This window comes from Homo sapiens, chromosome 18 (genome assembly GCF_000001405.40).
Source record: "Homo sapiens chromosome 18, GRCh38.p14 Primary Assembly".
In the NCBI taxonomy this organism is placed as follows: domain Eukaryota; kingdom Metazoa; phylum Chordata; class Mammalia; order Primates; family Hominidae; genus Homo; species Homo sapiens.
In genome coordinates, this window is record NC_000018.10 from 8190456 (window position 1) to 8209251 (window position 18796).

Below are 18796 nucleotides of genomic sequence, written 5' to 3' on the forward strand. Positions count from 1 at the left end.
TATCCCATTTTTGTAAATGATAGCACAGTTATAGCTGCTCACGTCACTTTTTGAGTAGTTGTTCTAGTCTTCCTTCCCTTTCAGAAAGACAGAGATAATACAATCTGTTCAAGAATCAGTGACTAAATTAATTTTATTTAAATATTGTATGTTTTATTTCACCCTGTTTGGAAATAATAAATCTATGTTCTGTTTATCTGTAGTAATTTCATATAAAATACAGTTAATTTAATAGATAAGTTAGATTTCAAATACATAGATAAATTAGATTTCAAATACATAAATGTTAAAAGTAATATACAAGATGATGGTTTTATTGAGTGAAGATAGTTGTAATTCAGAGAATATATGTGGGGAAATACAAAAAACAACATTGTCATGGCCAATTTTTTTCCTGATATTATTACTAGAATGACTTTCCTCTTAATAAAAAAAATTGTGTGTTGGGGAGGAGTGAATGTTGGTGGGATAGGTCATACCTTAGCAGTTACAGACTTGCATAGGAAAGATTAATTAATATCTTATCAGCTGGAAGCCTGCTGCCTGCTAAGGACACAGCTGGGAAATTGGGTGAGCCTCTGGAGAAGTCTGTCTAAAAAGGAGTTACCAGGAAGAAGGGGTTGGAGGAATGGGGATGGGCACAGAGTAGGAAAGGGAACCTTAAGTTGGCAGGGTTGGTGAGAAAAGCTGCAGTCACACAGAGCCTGTTTTATGGGCTTGCCCAGCCAGCCAAGGATACTCACCCTGAGCCACCTATGGCCTCAGCCTTGGTAATGTGCCCTGCAAACTCTTAATATGGGCCATATCATTTGATACTTAGTTTAAGGCAGAGATTGGCGGAACACAGACACGTCTGAGGGGCCTAGGGAGCACATACTTGAGTACTGCACGGCTACAGAGGAGGTGGGAAAGGACTTCTCTGAACAGGAGTGGGGTGATTTCCAGAGACGGTGACACGCAGGAGAAGCATCTCTTCTTCATAGAAAGATGCCAGCTAATAAATGTGGAAGAGGCAAGGGAATAGGAAACCACCATGCTGAAAAGGCCTGAGAAATACAAGGTGCAAATGACTGTACATGGAGCCAAGCCTTCTGTGTAACGAAAAAGGGGGTATGAGTAAGTGTATGTGTATGTCTGTCACCTGTGTCACACAAATGCATGTGCACACACATCCCCCCAACACACACACACCCAAGAAGGATAAACCCAAAGCAATGGAAAATGGCTGCCTATGGGGATGAGTGAGCAGGGGAATGGGGAGGAGGGAATAAAGGTGAGAGCTGCACAGGAGACTCCTCTGACTACATTTTTTAATACAGTTTTGACTTTAGAACCAAATGTTTTTCATATCCCAGAAATAAATAGAATATATGAAACAAGCTCACCCTGAGATTGTATATAGATGGAAGCAGATGAATCTGACTATGTAGCAAATTGACAGTATTACCAACCTACAGGGAAAAAAAGATTTCAAGTAACTTCTGAACACATATCATTTTCTATATATTCTTGTAGGATGTAGTCTAAGGACAAAAAACTGAAATGAAATCTTAAGCTTTATTTAGATTTATTTTATTATTAATAATATTGATATTATTATTCTAAACTTATTTTACATATAGTAGGACTAAGTAAATAAGCCAATATATTAATGTAATTAAGAATCTAAGTTATCACTGTAAGAAAGATGCAGATACTTTGTTTAAAAGTAAGGAAAATCTCTGTAATATTAAATTTGAATTGGAAATAGTACAAAATCATATCAATATTCGCACACATATTCTAGGCTTTATTCATGGGAATGAGCTAGAAGCTATGAAACTTCAGTAGCAGTGAGCATGTATTACAACTAGATCTTGCTTTCTAAATACCACTCCCCAATAAAAGAAACCAGGACTTCCTGGAGAAATTGCTAATGAATTTTAGATCTTGGTCAGGGATAAACCAGTTGAACCTATAGCATTTTATGCCAAAATCAAGGTTGTACTCAAAGACTAATGAGATTATGTCAAAAGAACACAAGAGCCTGCATGAAAGGGCTCCCACAGGCCAAATTTGGGACAATTTGATCACCCAAAGAATATTGACAGGAATTGATTATAACACATTGAATTTTTTAATAAATATATGCATCTATGGTAAACTTAAAAAAATCAAAAATACTGAAAATAAATAGAAAGGATGGGGGATGTTTTTCCTTACAGCATACTGTAATGCCAGGAAATAAATGTAGAAATGATAAGATTAGAGAATGACTATTTTGCAAAGGCCAATATAAGATCTAATAATAAGAATTGTCAGTGTTTGCCAAAATGACCAGGTAAGAGATATTCTGGGAGTCACAATATTCACATGACCTTCAAGTGTCACCTATAGATTACTTAATTTCTTTTTTATGATGGAAAACTGAGCCTTAACAACAAATAGAAGAATCTAGTAGTCAACACCTTGCTCAAATTTAGCAAAGCCAGTAGTGATACAGCTTCACATTATGTCCTTGAGCTTGGATGTAGGAAAGAAAAAGCAGCTACAGAAAGCATGTGGGGGACAGTTGGATATATTGAATGTAGGCTTCCCATTAAGTGATATTGTAAAATCATTTTTCTTAGTTGTGATAACATTATTGTGGTTATATAGGAGATCCATGCTGAAGTCATATTTAGGGATAGAAATAATATCTAAAACTAAGTTGCAAATGGTTAGGGGAAATTCTATGTAAGATATAGATAGAGAGATATTGAGAAACAGCAAGAGAAAGCCAATGTTAACAACTGCTGGAACCAGGCAAAGGGTATTCAGGTGTGTGTTATACTGCTCCTTTGCCTTTACTGTGGAGGGGAGGATGTTCAAAATGAGAAGCTGTGGTGAAGAAAGCTATCAAGGGGCAGTAATACAGCTTCATTTTCTCTTCCAGGTGCTTACAAATTGATTATGTGTAATTTTAATTCTTCTTTCCAATTTTATACTTTCCAGTATAAAAGTCAACAAAATGTCTGTAACTCCCAAAGCCCTTTAAAAAATATGATTAAATGACAGCATAAGGGTTTTCTTCCCCAGTGAGCTATGGTCAGCTGTAATGAACATCAACTGTCCTGTAGCCTGTGGCCAGATGCCCTCCCCACAGGGGCCTCTCGCGCAGACTCAGGGAGCTTTGGTCACCTGGGCCCAACAAGTGTGGAGCAGAGAGCAGAACACAGTAGTGAGTGCACAGCTGGCAGCCTTCTGCTTTGATTAAGATGCAGAAAGTGTTGAGGGACCCAGGGCTTCCTGAGTTAGAGAGACTGTGGGCCACAGGCCAAGGCTTAAAGAGAAAGAGCTGCCCCTGTCTCTACTCCAGGCACAGTGGCTGTAGGGACAGCACCCAGGCCACTCTGCTATGTGTCGCTGAACCTTGGCCTGTCTTCTTAAAGTACTGTGTGTTTTCCAAATTGTTTCAGACACACTGGGTCTTCAATTTCCAGTTCTCATGGATGCTGTATTAAGAAACGCACCAGACCATATTAATCTGACATGGCTGATTTGGGTTGACATTGACTGTTTTATCTTCGTGACACTCTGTAATGTCACACTCCTACAAAGATCCTCCTTGTCAGACAGGGGGCCTTGAGAGGCCATCGTGAAACCAAATTTTCTCTCCAGACATCTGTCCTTTAATCTTTTCCCCCTTATTTTATGTGTCTAAACACCACAGTTCAAAATATGTTTAGAATCTTTAATTTGGTTCTAAAACTTTAATGCCATCTCCTCTTCTTATCATTTCTGTCTTCATCCCCTTCATCTCCCTTGGTAGCTTGACTATTTCAAAAGCTGGTTGTATCCATAATGGTTTTGTAGTAAATGTGGTAGCTTATGGTAGCTGAGAACACTGGTTATTTTAGCCAATTGAGTTTTGAGTTGGTGGGAAAGAAATCATGGCCGAGGTGTTCAAAACCAAGAGCTGATATGTGGAAAACAAGCATTAAAACAGTGTCACTAGAAAGTGACGGCGGTGGAAAGTTGTCCATAGAGTAACTCTGCTTTCAGGGCTCCGTGTGAGGACTGAGGGGGCACCCTGAAATCCACACTGGAAACAGGCAGGCCCCTTTATGAATAGGAGCTCCAGCTCCATCCATGGTAGCTGTGCGTGCTCATTCATTAGGCCTTACTGGTTTGTTGTGAGTGCAGTATCAGCATGATTTATGGCATAGGCAGCCTGGAAATAACATGAGCAGCACATAGCACAGCCGTGGCTGTATTCATCCAACATATCCTGTCTGTTCAAAGGAAATGTAGAAATCTACTTCTTAATGACATTTTGTGCTGCTTTTTAATTTTTCTTGCTTTTGAAATACTGCATTGTTCAGTACTCCTGTTTGGGAGTCACTTAGAGTGACGCAGTGTCAGTCAGCCCAAGACTTGGTGGTTATCTCTGTTTTGTCAGATCTGAGCTGCACTCGCCTCTTTTATTCTTGTAAGGATTGGGCATACAAACGTTTCTTCTCAGGAATCAAAGAAGGCTCTCATGAGAAACTGCCTCCCCAGCACCTGAGGGCCCCACCATCCCAAGGCAGGACTCTACATGCAAACAGCATCCACCCTGAGGACAACATTCTGCACAGAAACCTCTCAAAACTACAGAATTGTCATCCACACTTTGGCCAGGAGTACTGGGAAGTAGCTAGAATGGAGTTGAGTCAATTCTCAGCTCTTAGAAGTTCTTTTTTTTTTTTTTTTTTTTTTTAAATAATGTTCTGGGAAAGCTAGTTACAGAGGCCTTTCACAAGGACTTCATTGGCTACCTGTAACCTCTGGCCTAAGTATGTATTTGCTTCGTGGTTCCATCTCACATGAAATTAGTATAAGGTGAACCCAGTGATGGCTGCCTTTAACAAGGGTTAGCAACTGTTAGGATGGATGTGTGGATTGACTCAGCCAGCACCACCATTTTGAATGGGTTAGTGAACAGTAAAAAAGAAATATAAAATCCTATTACTAGTTATCTACCCAAAGGAAAAGAAAGCGCTATTCACAATAGCAAAGATGTGGAATCAACCTCGTATGCATCAGTGGATGATTGTATAAAGAAAGTATGGTATCTGTACACTATGGGATACTATTTAGCCATTAAAGACTGAAAGAAGTCATGTCTTTGCAGCAGCATGAAGGAACTAGAGGCCATTATTTTAAGTGAAACACCTTAGACACAAAAAGTCAAATACCACCTGTTCTCACTTACAAGTGGGAGCTAAATAATGTGTACATTTGGGCATAGAGGGTGGAATAATAGACATTGGAGACTCCAGTTAGTGGAAGAGTGAGCGTCGGGTGAAGAAGAAATTCCTTAATGGGTACAGTGTACACTGTTCAGGTGATGGTTACACTGAAAGCCCAGACTCCACCGCTATGCAGTATACCCATGTAACAAAAATACACTTGTACCATTAAATGTTATACAAATAAAAAATAAAGACAAAAAAATCAATCCTCACATCATATGAGAAAAAATGAAAAGAACACAGCTGACTCCTTATCTAAACTTAGGTAAAATTATCGTTACTAGTTAGTTGGTATTCCTTTCCACTCAAGCACTCTGACCAGCTGGCTAGAGGTAACAATCTTTCAGAAAGGTCTTAAAGAACTAAAATGACTGAGCACCTGCTTCTATCCAATGAGCCATCCCCTAGAGTGTGAACCGTAATTTGGCTTGGATATAGCTGGCAGTGAGGAAGTTTTGTAGGATTATCTTGCCTCAGCATTTCTTAAGAACTCGGGGAGTGGGGCCTGTCACCTTAATCCCTTTCAGAAGTTCCAAGGTAAGCCTGCCTTAGGCTGCCTTAGATCAGGAAAAGGTCATCACTACAGATGTAACAAGAGCTGTCAGATGCTTGCTTTTATTTTCAGGTGAAGTCCTATACCTCTGTTCCTTAGTGCTATTACTGTTAGAGAGATGGGAACAGGAGAGAGTGGAATGAGCAGTGTTTACCTCCTTGAAGGAAAGTGCTATGCCAATACAAGGAGGTGCTGCGCAGGTCAGCAGTGCGCCAGCATACTGGTTTCGTACAACTCAGAAACTATCCTGTTTGCACATAGCATTTGCTGAAAATATTCAGCTGTCTAGGACTAGTGCCCAGTAGAGAGATTGGCAGAAAAACACTCATTTTAGCTGGCTTTCAAATTATTTTTCAAATTCAACACGAAGTCAGTTAAGGAAGACCATTAGATTATGTCAAAAAGCAGTTTGGAAAACATTTATCATTTGTAGGGAGCCCAGCACTGACGTTTCTAAATTGTGTGTGACGTTGACATGTTCCCATATGTCACGATATGTTCCTTACTTCCCTTGTTATGAGCTTGGGTTAGAAGTCACTGTTCTTTTGAACCTTGATGTCACCTCAGGGCAGTTTGCTAGCACTCAGAAATTCAAAATTGCCTAAAGTGCGTGGTGGGATGTCTATCTGTATCATACCGTGGGCAAACGTCTGACTTGAAGGCATCAAACAGGCAAACGGAAGAACCATGAAGGATGCTAAGTTTTGACTGTGTCTGGGTAGCCAATTGGGAGTGTATTATGTAGAAAGCCAAATAAATGCTTATTTCAAGCACTTCAAGGTAAAGGACAATATTTAACTCTGGTTTGTTTTGAGAGATTAGAGTAGTTTATGCCCATAAGAAATATTCAGAAATAGTTGTTGAGTGTGTGAGTGAACAGCAGGGCATTAAATAACATTATAGTCATGGTCTTTATGAGCGTTAGGCCAATGTTCTATGTAATGAGGTAAATTATTTAAGGTTCTTATAATGTGTTATTTTAGGTAAGGATGTTGCTATTTACTCAGTGTTTTTTCACGGAAGATAGTGTGCTCTACAGATTCCGTGTCACTAAGCTAAGCATCTATGAAGCATTATTGATAATCACTCAGTTGACTATTACATACAAATTTCAATGTGGTCATCAACTCTTAAATTTCTTTATAGTTAAAGGATAGGAAAACTGACAAAAAATGTTACTTTTTATCACTTAGTAGAATTTCATGAGTCACTAGTTTAGAACTTTCATTTCCATTCACAGGACAAGGTTAAAAGAAACAGAATTAAGAAGTTGCTTAGGAGTAGGCTTTTCTGTTTATTGGGAGTCGGTATTGGACATTCATAAATTTATAATCTGCATTATGTTTCAGCGATACGTTAATGCTGAGTTCATAGGATTAATCAGGCCACATGCTGTCCTGTGGCTTCACTAATATACTCCTCAGTCACATCAGCACTTTCTCTTTCACACCACACACAAAAAGCCTTACGGAGCAGTGGGTAAGCAGTCCTAACAGGCAAATGTTCACACATAGTGAAAGAGAAGTTTAGTTTTTCTGTCATGGTTGCTGAACAAGATAATATTCTCTAATTCTTTGATAGGAAAATAGAGCCAAGGCATTTGACTGCCGACACACTCTCATTGGAACTCCATGCAGGACTTCACCAGTCATTAGAAGCTCATTCCAGGAATCCCAGCCTCGAAGGGATCATGGAGAAGGTGGGATGGAGTGACCTGAGTCTGATGGGTAGAAACAGCCACCCTTGCTCTCTCCCACCTTCTTCTGTGTGGACACTCTGCCTCTGGAATTTTTAGTAACTGGGTACCTGTTGGAAGATTAGTTCCTTTTGCTAGGCTATGAACTAGAGGGAGGGTGTGCATTCATTTCACTAAAGTAAAATTTTGCCTTTTCTTTGTTGTTAGACAGGATCTTACTCCCATCATCCTGGCTGGAGTGTTGTGGCACAAACATGGCTCACTGCAGCCTCGACTTCCCAGGCCCAGGTGATCCTCCCACCTCAGCCTCCCAAGTAGCTGGGACCTACAGACGTGTACCACTATACCTGGCTAACTTTTGTGTTTTTTTGTAGAGACAGGGTTTTGCCATGTTGCCCAGGCTGGTCTCAAACTCCTAGGCTAAAGCGATCTGCCTACCTTGGCCTGCCAAAGTGCTGTGATTACAGGCATGAACCATCACACCCGGCCAAAATTTTGCCGCTGATTTTTAGAAATTGAATTATTATTTTAGACTGAAGTTGTATCTTTTTAAAATGAAAGCCATACCTCCGTATTTCTAAGAAATCAGATGGGATCATCATCCCATCAGGTATTCACTGAGCTCCTGCTTGTGCTCCACTGTCTGCTCAGTGCTGGTTCTGTATTGCGGAGAGGATCTAAACAGAAAGTAATCCAAAGGGCTACATCTGTCTTTCTTAATGACGAACCGACGGCTTTCCACCTTACCCTTTTGGCTACAACCAGTGGGATTGACTGCTGTCTTATTGACTCTGTTTATCTAGATATGGTGGACATATTGCCCAGTTAGATGGGCTAAGATACCGATAGCCCCCCAAAATGCCAGATTCCAGAATAAATGAAATCACTCAGTCATTAAGGTGATATATTTAACTGGGCTGGCTGGGCTAATTTGTCCATGTTACCAATTATTATTGAGCAGACAAACTCAGGTAATGATGGCAGCAAAAGCCCATCTGGGGCCTGAGACTAGAGGAGGAGGAGGCTGGCCAGACCCTCCTCAGATGCGCAGAGGACAGCTTCAGGATAAGGAGAGATCAGATCATGCCTGCTCCATCTCGGCGGGCTCATCTTCTCTCGCCCCCATCTGCATGGTCCTCTTGATTTTCTTCATAATAATAACACTGAAATCCTTTGAGTGCTAACATTACTGTAAGTGTCAGCTGTTTATGCTGTTATATGCCTTAAGTTATTTCAGCCTTACCACATGCAGTGAAGGAGACACTAGTATTATCCTTATGTTGCAGCTGAGGAAACTGAAGTGTGGAGTTTAAGTAACTGGCCCAAGGTAACAGATGCAGTGATCAGAGGAGCAGGGACCCACAGCCAGGCACTGTGACGCAGAGCCTGCGCTCCTCACTCATATCCTGCTTCAGGCTTCACAGGTCTTGGGAAGAAAAAGAGAACGTTTACACCCTGAATAACATTGCAAAAGGATAGTGCGCTGTGTCTGCCGGTCAGCAGAGCTCTTTGATGATATTAGTAGGAGACACCTAAGCAAAGTAAAGTTGAGGTCAGTGTAGCTCCATAACAAAAGATAGGGAATGCTCTAGGTCTCCTCAAGAAAAATCTACACCATGGTTTTCTGTTTTCACCTACAGCTTAGTTGCCCAGGAAGATTCATTTATTATTTATTTAAGTAATACATCACAGGGACAAGATTCATTGAAGTGAAGGTATTTCACTTCCAACTGTCCTACAGGGAAACAATGAGCCTAAATAAATCCTACAAATTCTCCCTGGAGAGGGAGCAGTGATTGATTCATTTTTGCATCTGTCAAATGCCTCTATAGTCCAAAGAGTGCGTTTTGTTCCCTCCCTTAACAAGATTCTCTTACCTTTGTTTTGTTCAGGCTTTATTGGCGCTGTGTGTATAAATAAGATTACAATGAATAGAAATTAACACTGTATCCCAGTTTTCTGAGTCAAAGCCCCAATTCCAAACAGAAAAAAAAAATCTTGTTGTTAAATAATATATGGGTATTATTTGTCACATATGATAAATATTGCTACTCATGCCCAAAAAGAGACTTTACAACTGTCCTTGTGCTAGACGAATGACTGGTCTACAGGCTACAGACTATTCACAGAGCTTTGGGGAAGCCCTGAAACTCACCTGATAGCAGTGTCCTTGGGACTGAATATAAACTTCTACAGTTACAAGGCCTTAAGAGGTTACAAAGTAGAGCAAGTTTGGGGACTTCAAAAGCAGTGCCTGGGATGGCAGACATCATTGCCGTGGTGCAGGGGCCTCTCTATGATCCCATCGCTGTGCCCCCACCGAGACCCAGGTGGACAGTTTGGAGGTGGGGAGGGAGCTGGGATGTGACTCAGCAGTCATGTGGGGCAAAACCAGGGTGGGGGCACGACCCTGCTAGATTAGCCTGAAGGTGGGGCAAATGACTGGCACCTTGTCACAAGACATTGTTGTTTTTACGCATTTGACTTGATTTCACCCTTCAGGCTCAGGGCTGGCCCTGTGAGGCCTTTCCACTGCATTCAGTTGTTCTTTCTTGAATGTTAGAGGGAGGAAGTTGGAGTCTCTGTTCTGGGGAACTGAACACACCGCACGCAGCCCATCTGGCCTGTGCCGTGACCCACGCAGCACAAATCACTAGTTCCAGCGGCGACAACACTAACATTTATACATCATGCAAGTTGTAGTCTTTTATTTTAACTTAAACTTTTTATTTTCAAATAATTTCAAACTCACAAAAAGTTATAAAAATAGTACAAAAAATTGCCATATACCTTTTACCCAGATTCCCCAATTATTAAAATTTCACATTTGTGTGTTTCTGTATATGTGTGAGAAAGTAAAAAACACGAAGCCTTTTTACTCCTAAATACCTGGGAGTAATTCCTAAAAGATAAAACATATATTCCTTTACATAACTGCAATACATAAATTATAATGTTCAATAATTTAATAAAGTATATTTGTGTTACTCTAAATGGTAAAATAAGTTTTTTCTCCTATTAATTAATATGATTAATAATACTATGACATGGAGATTAGAAAAATTAAGATTTAAGGCCAGGCACGATGGCTCCCGCCTGTAATCCCAGCACTTTGGGAAGCTGAGGCAGACAGATCACCTGAGATCAGGAGTTCAAGACCAGACTGGCCAACATAGCAAAACCCTGTCTCTACTAAAAATACAAAAATTAGCCAGGCATGGTGGTGCGCACCTGTAGCCCCAGCTACTCGGGAAGCTGAGGCAGGAGAATTGCTTAAACCTGGGAGGCGGAGGTTGCAGTGAGCCAACATCGTGCCACTGCACCCCAGCCTGGGCAACAGAGCAAGACTCCGTCTCCAAAAACAAAAAAGAAAAGATTTAAAAACTAAAATATAATCTTCGGTTTTACATATATATTAATGATTGTTTCTTTTTCAGGTGATAATTTTTTTAAATATGTGAATGGCTCATTAGTACTTGTGTCCTTTTAAAAACACTTATGAATACCACAGCAAAATTAGGTTGTGGTGCTATTACTATATCTATTTATTAGTCTGCTCAGGCTTCCATAACAAAATACGATAGACTGGGTGGCTTAAACAATGCACATGAATTTTTCACGGTTCTGGAGGCCAGAAGTCTAAGATCACGGTGCTGACCAATTCGTTTCCTGCTGAGGGCTCTCTCCCTGGTGTGTGGATGACCACCTTCTTGCTGTGCCCTCTCGTAGAAGAGAGTTCTCTTCCTCTTCTAATAAGGACACCAATCCTATCAGATTAGGACCCACCCTAAAGACCTCATTTAATTCTAATTACCTCCTAGATACCCCATCTCTAACTATAATCACATTGAGGATAGGGATTCGACATATGAATTTTGGAGGGGCACAATTCAGTCCATAGTGCACAGTCCGTCATTTCATTTCAACATCATTGGAGAACACCTTCAAGCACATGATACCTCCTTTGATGTGTTTTGCTGTTTAAAGGCGTGGTGAACCCTTGACAGAAACATTATCATGGATTCTTCTCCACATGTTTACTGACTTCATTGTGCTTTTCAAGTTTTCTTCCTCCTTAAACAACATAAAACATTTTGGAAAAAGTACTGGAATATTAAATGTGTTGTTCAAATTTGATGCTGATGCTTGAATTTCAAGGCAAGGCACATCATGGGCTTGACCTTCATGTCTTCAGACTCACAGAGCTTCCAGTTTCTCAGACTGGATTATTATAAGATCTCATACGAGTTATTTTGAGGGAAGGGAATGGAAAATAAAGATTAACCAGAAATCAAATTCCATTTTCCCAGCCCTCCCTTGGCAATGCCTAGTGGTCACATTTCAAAATATTATACAAACCTATTTTACAGTAAATAGACATGTTTTGAAGTGGTGCTAGAAAGAAGAGGGGCGTCTCTGCCATATTCTAGTTATCATATTTCTGTTCATTCTCTGCTCAGTGTGGGCCCAGAGGACTGAAAAACAGTCAGTAAGCACCTCTACTTTTTGCCTATGGCATGCAGAAATTTCTCCATATGCAAAAAAGTGGGGAGAGGGGAGAAAGATTAAGATGTTTCTGTCTGGTTTCAGTCACATTTTTAGTTCTTTCCCACTTTCATTTGTTCTCTGATTTTTTTTTTTTAATGGTAAGAAATTGGCAGGTTTCTCACGGAACTGCCTGTGTTTACCATACTACTGATAATTCTTGTAAACTGTCTACCATCTCAGTTCCTTACCTCATCGCAGCTTTTTATTTCTTTACAGATCAAGACCATCATCCTTTTAAGCATTTTTCTCCTTGACTCTGTCTCGATTGTCCTGTTCTCTCTCACCTCCTAGGCAATTACCTTATCTTAATAAAATATAATTGGGCCGGTAGACGTTTCTTTCTATTTGAAAAGCCTCCCAGCCTAGCCTGTGGACTGATCTCCCTGCCAGCCAGTGTATAGGTCTCCACAGGCCTCCTCTTCTTCCATGAAGGGACTGCTAAACTCAGCTCAGGCAGCATAGGGCTATGATTGCTTTCCCATTCATCACCCCGAAAAATGAGTTTGCACTTTAATTTATAAATATAAAATATATTTTCTTGGTTACGGCGAATCAAACTGAATTATATTTGTGCAATTACTGAGTTACATGACCGAATGTATATCTACGTAGTTGAGATTATTCTTGGGAAATGCAAGGAGGGACTCCCATCTGATTCAGTTATATGGAGCAGCTCTAGGGTAGCACCATTCTGGGCTTTGAGGGTAACACGATGTAACTGGTATTGTATACATTAACATTAGTAGAGTTCCTTGGCTGTTTAAAATAGCTAGAAATCAGAGAAGTATGATACAAACTACTACGGACTGAATTTCTGGGTATGTGTTGTATTAAAAGAAAACAACAACACAAATTTCGGAAGTTTTTGTAGAACAACTGGCTTTCATTCTTTAAAAAGGTTGGTGTCATTAAAGGAAGAAATGCTGGGGATTGTTTTAGGTTAAAGAAACATGATGACTTAATGTGGTGCTTGATCCTTGATTCTTGAGCAAAATGAAAAGTTTAAAAGACATTGGGAAAATTTGGAAGATGTAGATATGCATATATATTAGATAATATTTTTGTATCAATGTTGTATTTCTTGAGAGTAGTAATACTGCAGTTATATGGAAGAATTCCTTGTTCTTAGGTGATACATGCTAAAGTATTGGGGGAAATTGTCATAATGTCTTCAACTTTCAAACGGTTTGGCAAAATAAGTGTATATATGTATGTATGTCTATAGTGTGTGTGTGAGAAAGTAAACACACACACACATGCATAGTGAAAAATAGAAGTTGCAAAGATTCATTTTTGTCATTCCTTATTTCTTCTAATCGAGTAAAAGTTTTCTAAATTAGCTTTCCTACTAATAAATAAAATATTTTTCTTATGCTCGGTCAGGAAAGCTAAATGGGAGAGGCAAGCCCACCTAAGTCCTTCCCTGTCAAGGAGGGGGTAGAAAATACATCGTAACAGTACACCCAGCGACCTCCAGAGTCACTGGTTCCATATGTGCAGGATTCACCTAAGCCACATGCCAACCACAAGATGGTTTTCTCTGAGACTTCTTGGAAAAATAAACCCAAGAAATTCAAATCACTTGATGTCAAAGGATCTAAACAGAGATTGCAGACTTTAGCTGTGTAGCTCTCTGGTTTGTGAGCAGAATGAGATTGGGGGTGGGGAATTGCACTCATTATTGAACACCTCTTCTGCTTGCAGTTTCAGCAGCAGCAGCCTAGCTTCCCCCTAAATGTGACACTTCTTACTTGTCATCACTTACCATACTTTGGGAGGTATTTTATCCTCTTCTTTATGTGTGTGTGTTCAGTTGTGTGGGGAAGTGAATTGAGTCTTAACATTTTGAAGTAAAATAGGCTTGTTTTCTTTTTAAATCCCTCTAGTCATTTAGTGAAATACTCTGATAAGGTTTTATTAATGAAATATAAATAGAAGGAAGATTCGTTTTGAAAGCACAGTGCCATCTTAGAAAACACCAAAAGAGGAAAGAAAAAAAAAATGAAGACTGTACCTTGATGTCAGAGCTTTGGGGGAGAAACTGATTCCACCTTGAAGGGAGATGACCCAAGCTTGACAGCTGCCTCCACAAGGAGTCCTATTAGCAAAAGAAGGGGAGCCATGTGCTAGGAGGGCCATTTTCTCTGTTCTTCGCATCACTGAGGAGTGTTCAGCAATCACACTTGGACTTGATACAGAAAATGACTGCATTGAGAGCCCTTCTTCATAAGTAAGCCATATATGGTAACTAAAAAAACAAAAACAAAAAAAAAACAAAAACAAAAACCCTAACACTTCCCATCACAAAACCAATTTTTTTGAGGATTACCAGGCTCGTGTTTTCTCTCTAGTATGTCAGGGTTTGTGATACTTCTGGTCAGAGTGTGGAAAGAGTTTGGGCTATCAGCACAGGCCATATTCTGTTTGCTTCATATGCATTTGGAGACATGAAATGATATTTTACTGGTTAAGTTTCCGCTAAGTGCTTAGATTTTCTTTATTGCGTTTCTCTTACACTGTTAAACAAAATATTGTGTGGCTAAATGATTTCAGCCTATCTAATTTGCTTGACAATTAGACAGTCGTTCTAGCCTTAGGAACAAAATATGTTCATCATAAAAAAATTAAGAATGTGATCTAAAGTTCAAAGCTGAAATATTAAAACATTAATAAATAGAAAGCTTTAAGAACTATTCACTCAGTATGCAAAGAAACAGTCATTTCTCGCTGCTCTAAATTCTATTCCTGCACATAAAAGGAAAATATATCAAGTTTAACAATTCAATACAAAAAAAAACCCTGCAATGTGAGTTCTCCAAACAAACATCCCTATTATCCCTACATACAGGTATAGCCTTAGGTTATATTTTTATGATTTCATTTTTGAGGTATATACAAAACATGCATATGGTTTTCATCACTAGAAATAAACTACACTGAGTCCTTTGGGTTTGCTTTCTTTATTTCTTTATTATATGTTTAATTGATCACGTACTTTATAACTTTCAGTATTTTGACATTTTAGAGTACAGCAATGTGCTGTATTGCTGTAATCCACATATAGTTATATTTGGAATGATACGTTATGCTTGAGTTAGAAAAATAATTTGACACATCCACTACCCATAACACATGTTCAGTGGATATCATGCCTGCCAGAAATATTTCCATTTACACACTGCTAGCTCTCATACATAATTACTTACTTGTTCATCTCAGGACATAGTGTCAGATTGTACTATGTAATATAAAATAATCTTATCTAGTTGCATAATGAATTTTATTATCTGAGAGTTGTTTATATTTGATGGCATTTTCCCTCTTAGAGAAAATGAATTTTAATGAGAGAAAAATTGCTAACGTTTTTAAAGCCAGCACTCACATTTTGGCATTACAGCATATTTGGAGTGCCCGGTGATTAGGATCACTGTTCTTTGGTGGCAGCGTGTGAGGTCTGTGAAATGTGGGAAATGGTCTGTAACCTAATGGATCTCATAAGAACTATACATATTGAAAGGTGATTAATTTAAAATAAGGGATGAGTTGAGGATAATGATTGCTTTGGAGTTGAGCGAAAAGAGAGGTTACTATGAACCAAAAGAGAAGATGCATGAAGATGAACAAAATGTGAAGATGCACCAAGAAATGGCTATTGTAGTAGTAGAAGCAGAGAGAAATGCAGAGTGAGATGAGGGGGAGAGAGAAGACTGGAGGCACAAAAAGACTTTATCAAGGCTGAATTTTTATTTTATTTTATTTTATTTTGAGACGGAGTCTTGCACTGTCGCCCAGGCTGGAGTGCAGTCGCGCCATCTCGGCTCACTGCAAGCTCCGCTTCCTGGGTTCACACCATTCTCCTGCCTCAGCCTCCCGAGTAGCTACAGGCGCCCGCCACCACATCCAGCTAATTTTTTGTACTTTTAGTAGAGACGGGGTTTCACCATGTTAGCCAGAATGGTCTCGATCTCCTGACCTCATCATCTGCCCGCCTCAGCCTCCCAAAGTGCTGGGATTACAGTCGTGAACCACCGCGCCTGGCCCTGAATGTTTTAATAAGCAACAAATGACTGATGTTCCTAAAGTAATCCATTCAAATTCACATACTTTAATAGAAAAATAGGCAAAGGACATGAACCATCAGTTTATAAAAGAGGAGATGCAGATGATCAATATATGTATTAAAGGCTGCACAACTTCATTAATAAGCAACAAAATGGAAATTTTCAAAGTAAAATGCTAGGTATCACATCATATTGACAACTTTTGAAATCCCATTAGGGTACAGTGAAAAGGGCATCCTTGTGTGTGGTGACAGAGAGAGACTCTGCTTCAAAAAAAAGGGGTTGGCGGGGTGGAAATTGAGACACAGGGAGAGAATGTGAAGAGACACGGGGAGAAGGCTGCGGGAGGACAGAGGCAGAGATTGGAGGGGTCCTGCCACAACCCAGGGAACATCTGGGCCACCAGAAGCTGAAAGAACAAGGAAGGGTCCTTCCTCTACAGGTTTCAGAGGGGGCATGGCTCTACCAGCATCTGGATTTGGGATTTCTGGGCTCTGGAACTGTGAGATAATAAATTTCTCTGGTTCTGATCCGCCCAATTTAGGGTACTTTTTACAGCAGCCCTAGGAAATTAGCACAGAATCCAAGTGGGACAGCCGAGGTCATGGGTGGATATGAAACTGTAGAGTTCAAAGGAGAGATCTGGACTAGAGAAATAAAATTTGGAGTTTTCACCGGATGATATTTCACCAGAATAGAAATTGGTACAGTTTTGTGGGGAAGCAATTTATAGCTTGCACCACTACTCAAACATGAGTCTCAGGTAAATTAATATACTTAGAATTTCTTCTAAGGGAATTTTCCAATGCAGTGATTTATAGATAGGATTGATGGTCACGGGATTATATATGACAGTGAAATATTTGGGCACTACCTACGTTTCCAATAATGGTGACATAAATAAATGATGGTGCACATTTCATTAAGTGCGGTTAGTCATTAAATCCTGTGTTTTCAGGAAAAGAATTCATGACATAGAGAAATGATGAAATAAGTGGTACAGTAAAATCCAAATGTCATTTAAAATAAAAATGTATAAAAAAGACTGGATAGGAATACTCTGAAGTGTTAGCAATTCTGAATAGTGAAATAATGATTTGTATTTTCTTAGATCTTCTCTATATGTTTTAGATTTTATGCAATGAAAATGAATTATTTTTAGAGAAATTATATTACATGTTCTTGTATTTTAACAATTTATTGAGACAGAAAAAATAAAATAGGTAGAGTGGAGTCCCAAAGAGAGGGACTGATTTTATGAATCAGTAAATGCCAGTGTTATCCCTGGACCAGCAATGAGGTTGCTGAATAAAAAAGTGTATGTTTGTGTGTGTTAGTGTGTTGTAAAGCTAGGAAAAATGTTTGGCAGTTTGAAAGAAATATATCTGCCAACAAATATTCAGAAATTACGTGCCATATTTTTTAAAAAAGAAAACTTTAAGCATTCTTTATAGTAGGAGAAACAGGGACTACCGAGGTCAGAGGAAATGAGCAGAGTCTAGAACCTCAGGGAGCAACAAAGGATGGGCATGGTCAGCAACCATAACCGTAAGCTGAGCTCTTTCAGACTCCTGCAGGCCTTGGCCTGATGCGTGCTCTCCTGTGCAGCCACGCCACTTGTACACAGTTCATTTTAGTGCAGGCGAGTTATCTAAATCCCACAGTAAACACCCTCAGTATGACTAGTGCACAGGTACATGCTGAATATGTGTCTCTTCATTCATTTAACAAATTCCACATGAGCAGCTGTGATAAGCCAGGCAAGGTTCTAAGCTTTGGAGAACAAAATTAACAAAATCTCTCCTCTTGTGGGGCTTGCTTTCTGATGGGAGGAGATAGAATGTAACTAAAATAAGTAGCTTATTTGTACTATGGAGAAAAATAAAGCTGGGAAGGTAGATAAGGAGTGGGGTAAGTGAGACTTGTAAGTAGAGTGGCCAGGCAAGGCCTATTTTTTTTTTTAAACAGGGTCTCACTCTGTCACCTAGGCTTAAGTGCAGTGGCACCATCATAGTTCACTGCAGTCTTGAACTCCTGGGCTCAAGTGATCCTCCCATCTCAGCCTCCTGAGTTGGGACCACAGGTGTGAGCCACCACCCTGAGCTAATTTTTTAAAAAAATTTTGTAGAGACAGAATCTCACTATGTTGCCCAGGCTGGTCTAGAACTCCTGGCCACAGGCAATCCTCCCACCTTGGCCCCCCAAAGTGTTGGGATTACAGGTGTGAATCACTGCATCCTGCCAAGGCCTTACTTTTGAGCACGTGATTCATAAAGAGGAAGGAAGCCATGAAGACATCAGGGGAAAGAAATTCGAGGCAGAGGGAGCAGACAGCAGTGCATGCAGGAGAGCATAAGCATGCGTGCTCTGGGAGGGGACAGCAAGGAGTCCTTGTGGCCGGAGCAGGATAAGCAGAGGAAGGAGTGTTGGCAGTTTAGGTCTGTGCTGGTGGGGAAGCCAGTGAAGTCAGATAGGGCATAGGGGCTGCTGTAAAAGGCTTCAGCTTTTATTCTGAATGCAATGGAGTCCCGTCGGAAGGTTTTGAAAAAAGGCGTGACATTGTCTGCTTTCTACTGTAGAACAGAAGAGTTTTCTGTGCTTGTCTCCAGTTCCTTTTGGAGGACTAAGTGTGGCTGCTGTGTTAAGCATAGACCAAGAGATGGCAAGGGAGGAGGCAAGGACA

The 18796-nt window shown here is 39.9% G+C and overlaps 1 protein-coding gene across 32 annotated transcripts in view; it reads left to right on the forward strand.

Annotated features, from left to right (window-relative positions):
- Positions 1–18796, forward strand: part of PTPRM (protein tyrosine phosphatase receptor type M) — an 839541-nt gene that overhangs the window by 623140 nt on the left and 197605 nt on the right. The window contains exon 15 of one of the 32 annotated variants that reach the window (XM_047437724.1): positions 13988–15001. The exons of the other annotated variants lie outside the window; for them this stretch is intronic. Coding sequence (XP_047293680.1) covers positions 13988–14024 — 37 coding nt within the window. The 3' untranslated portion in view covers positions 14025–15001. Of the gene's footprint in view, positions 1–13987; positions 15002–18796 lie in introns of those variants that run through there. 32 annotated transcript variants of the gene reach the window in all.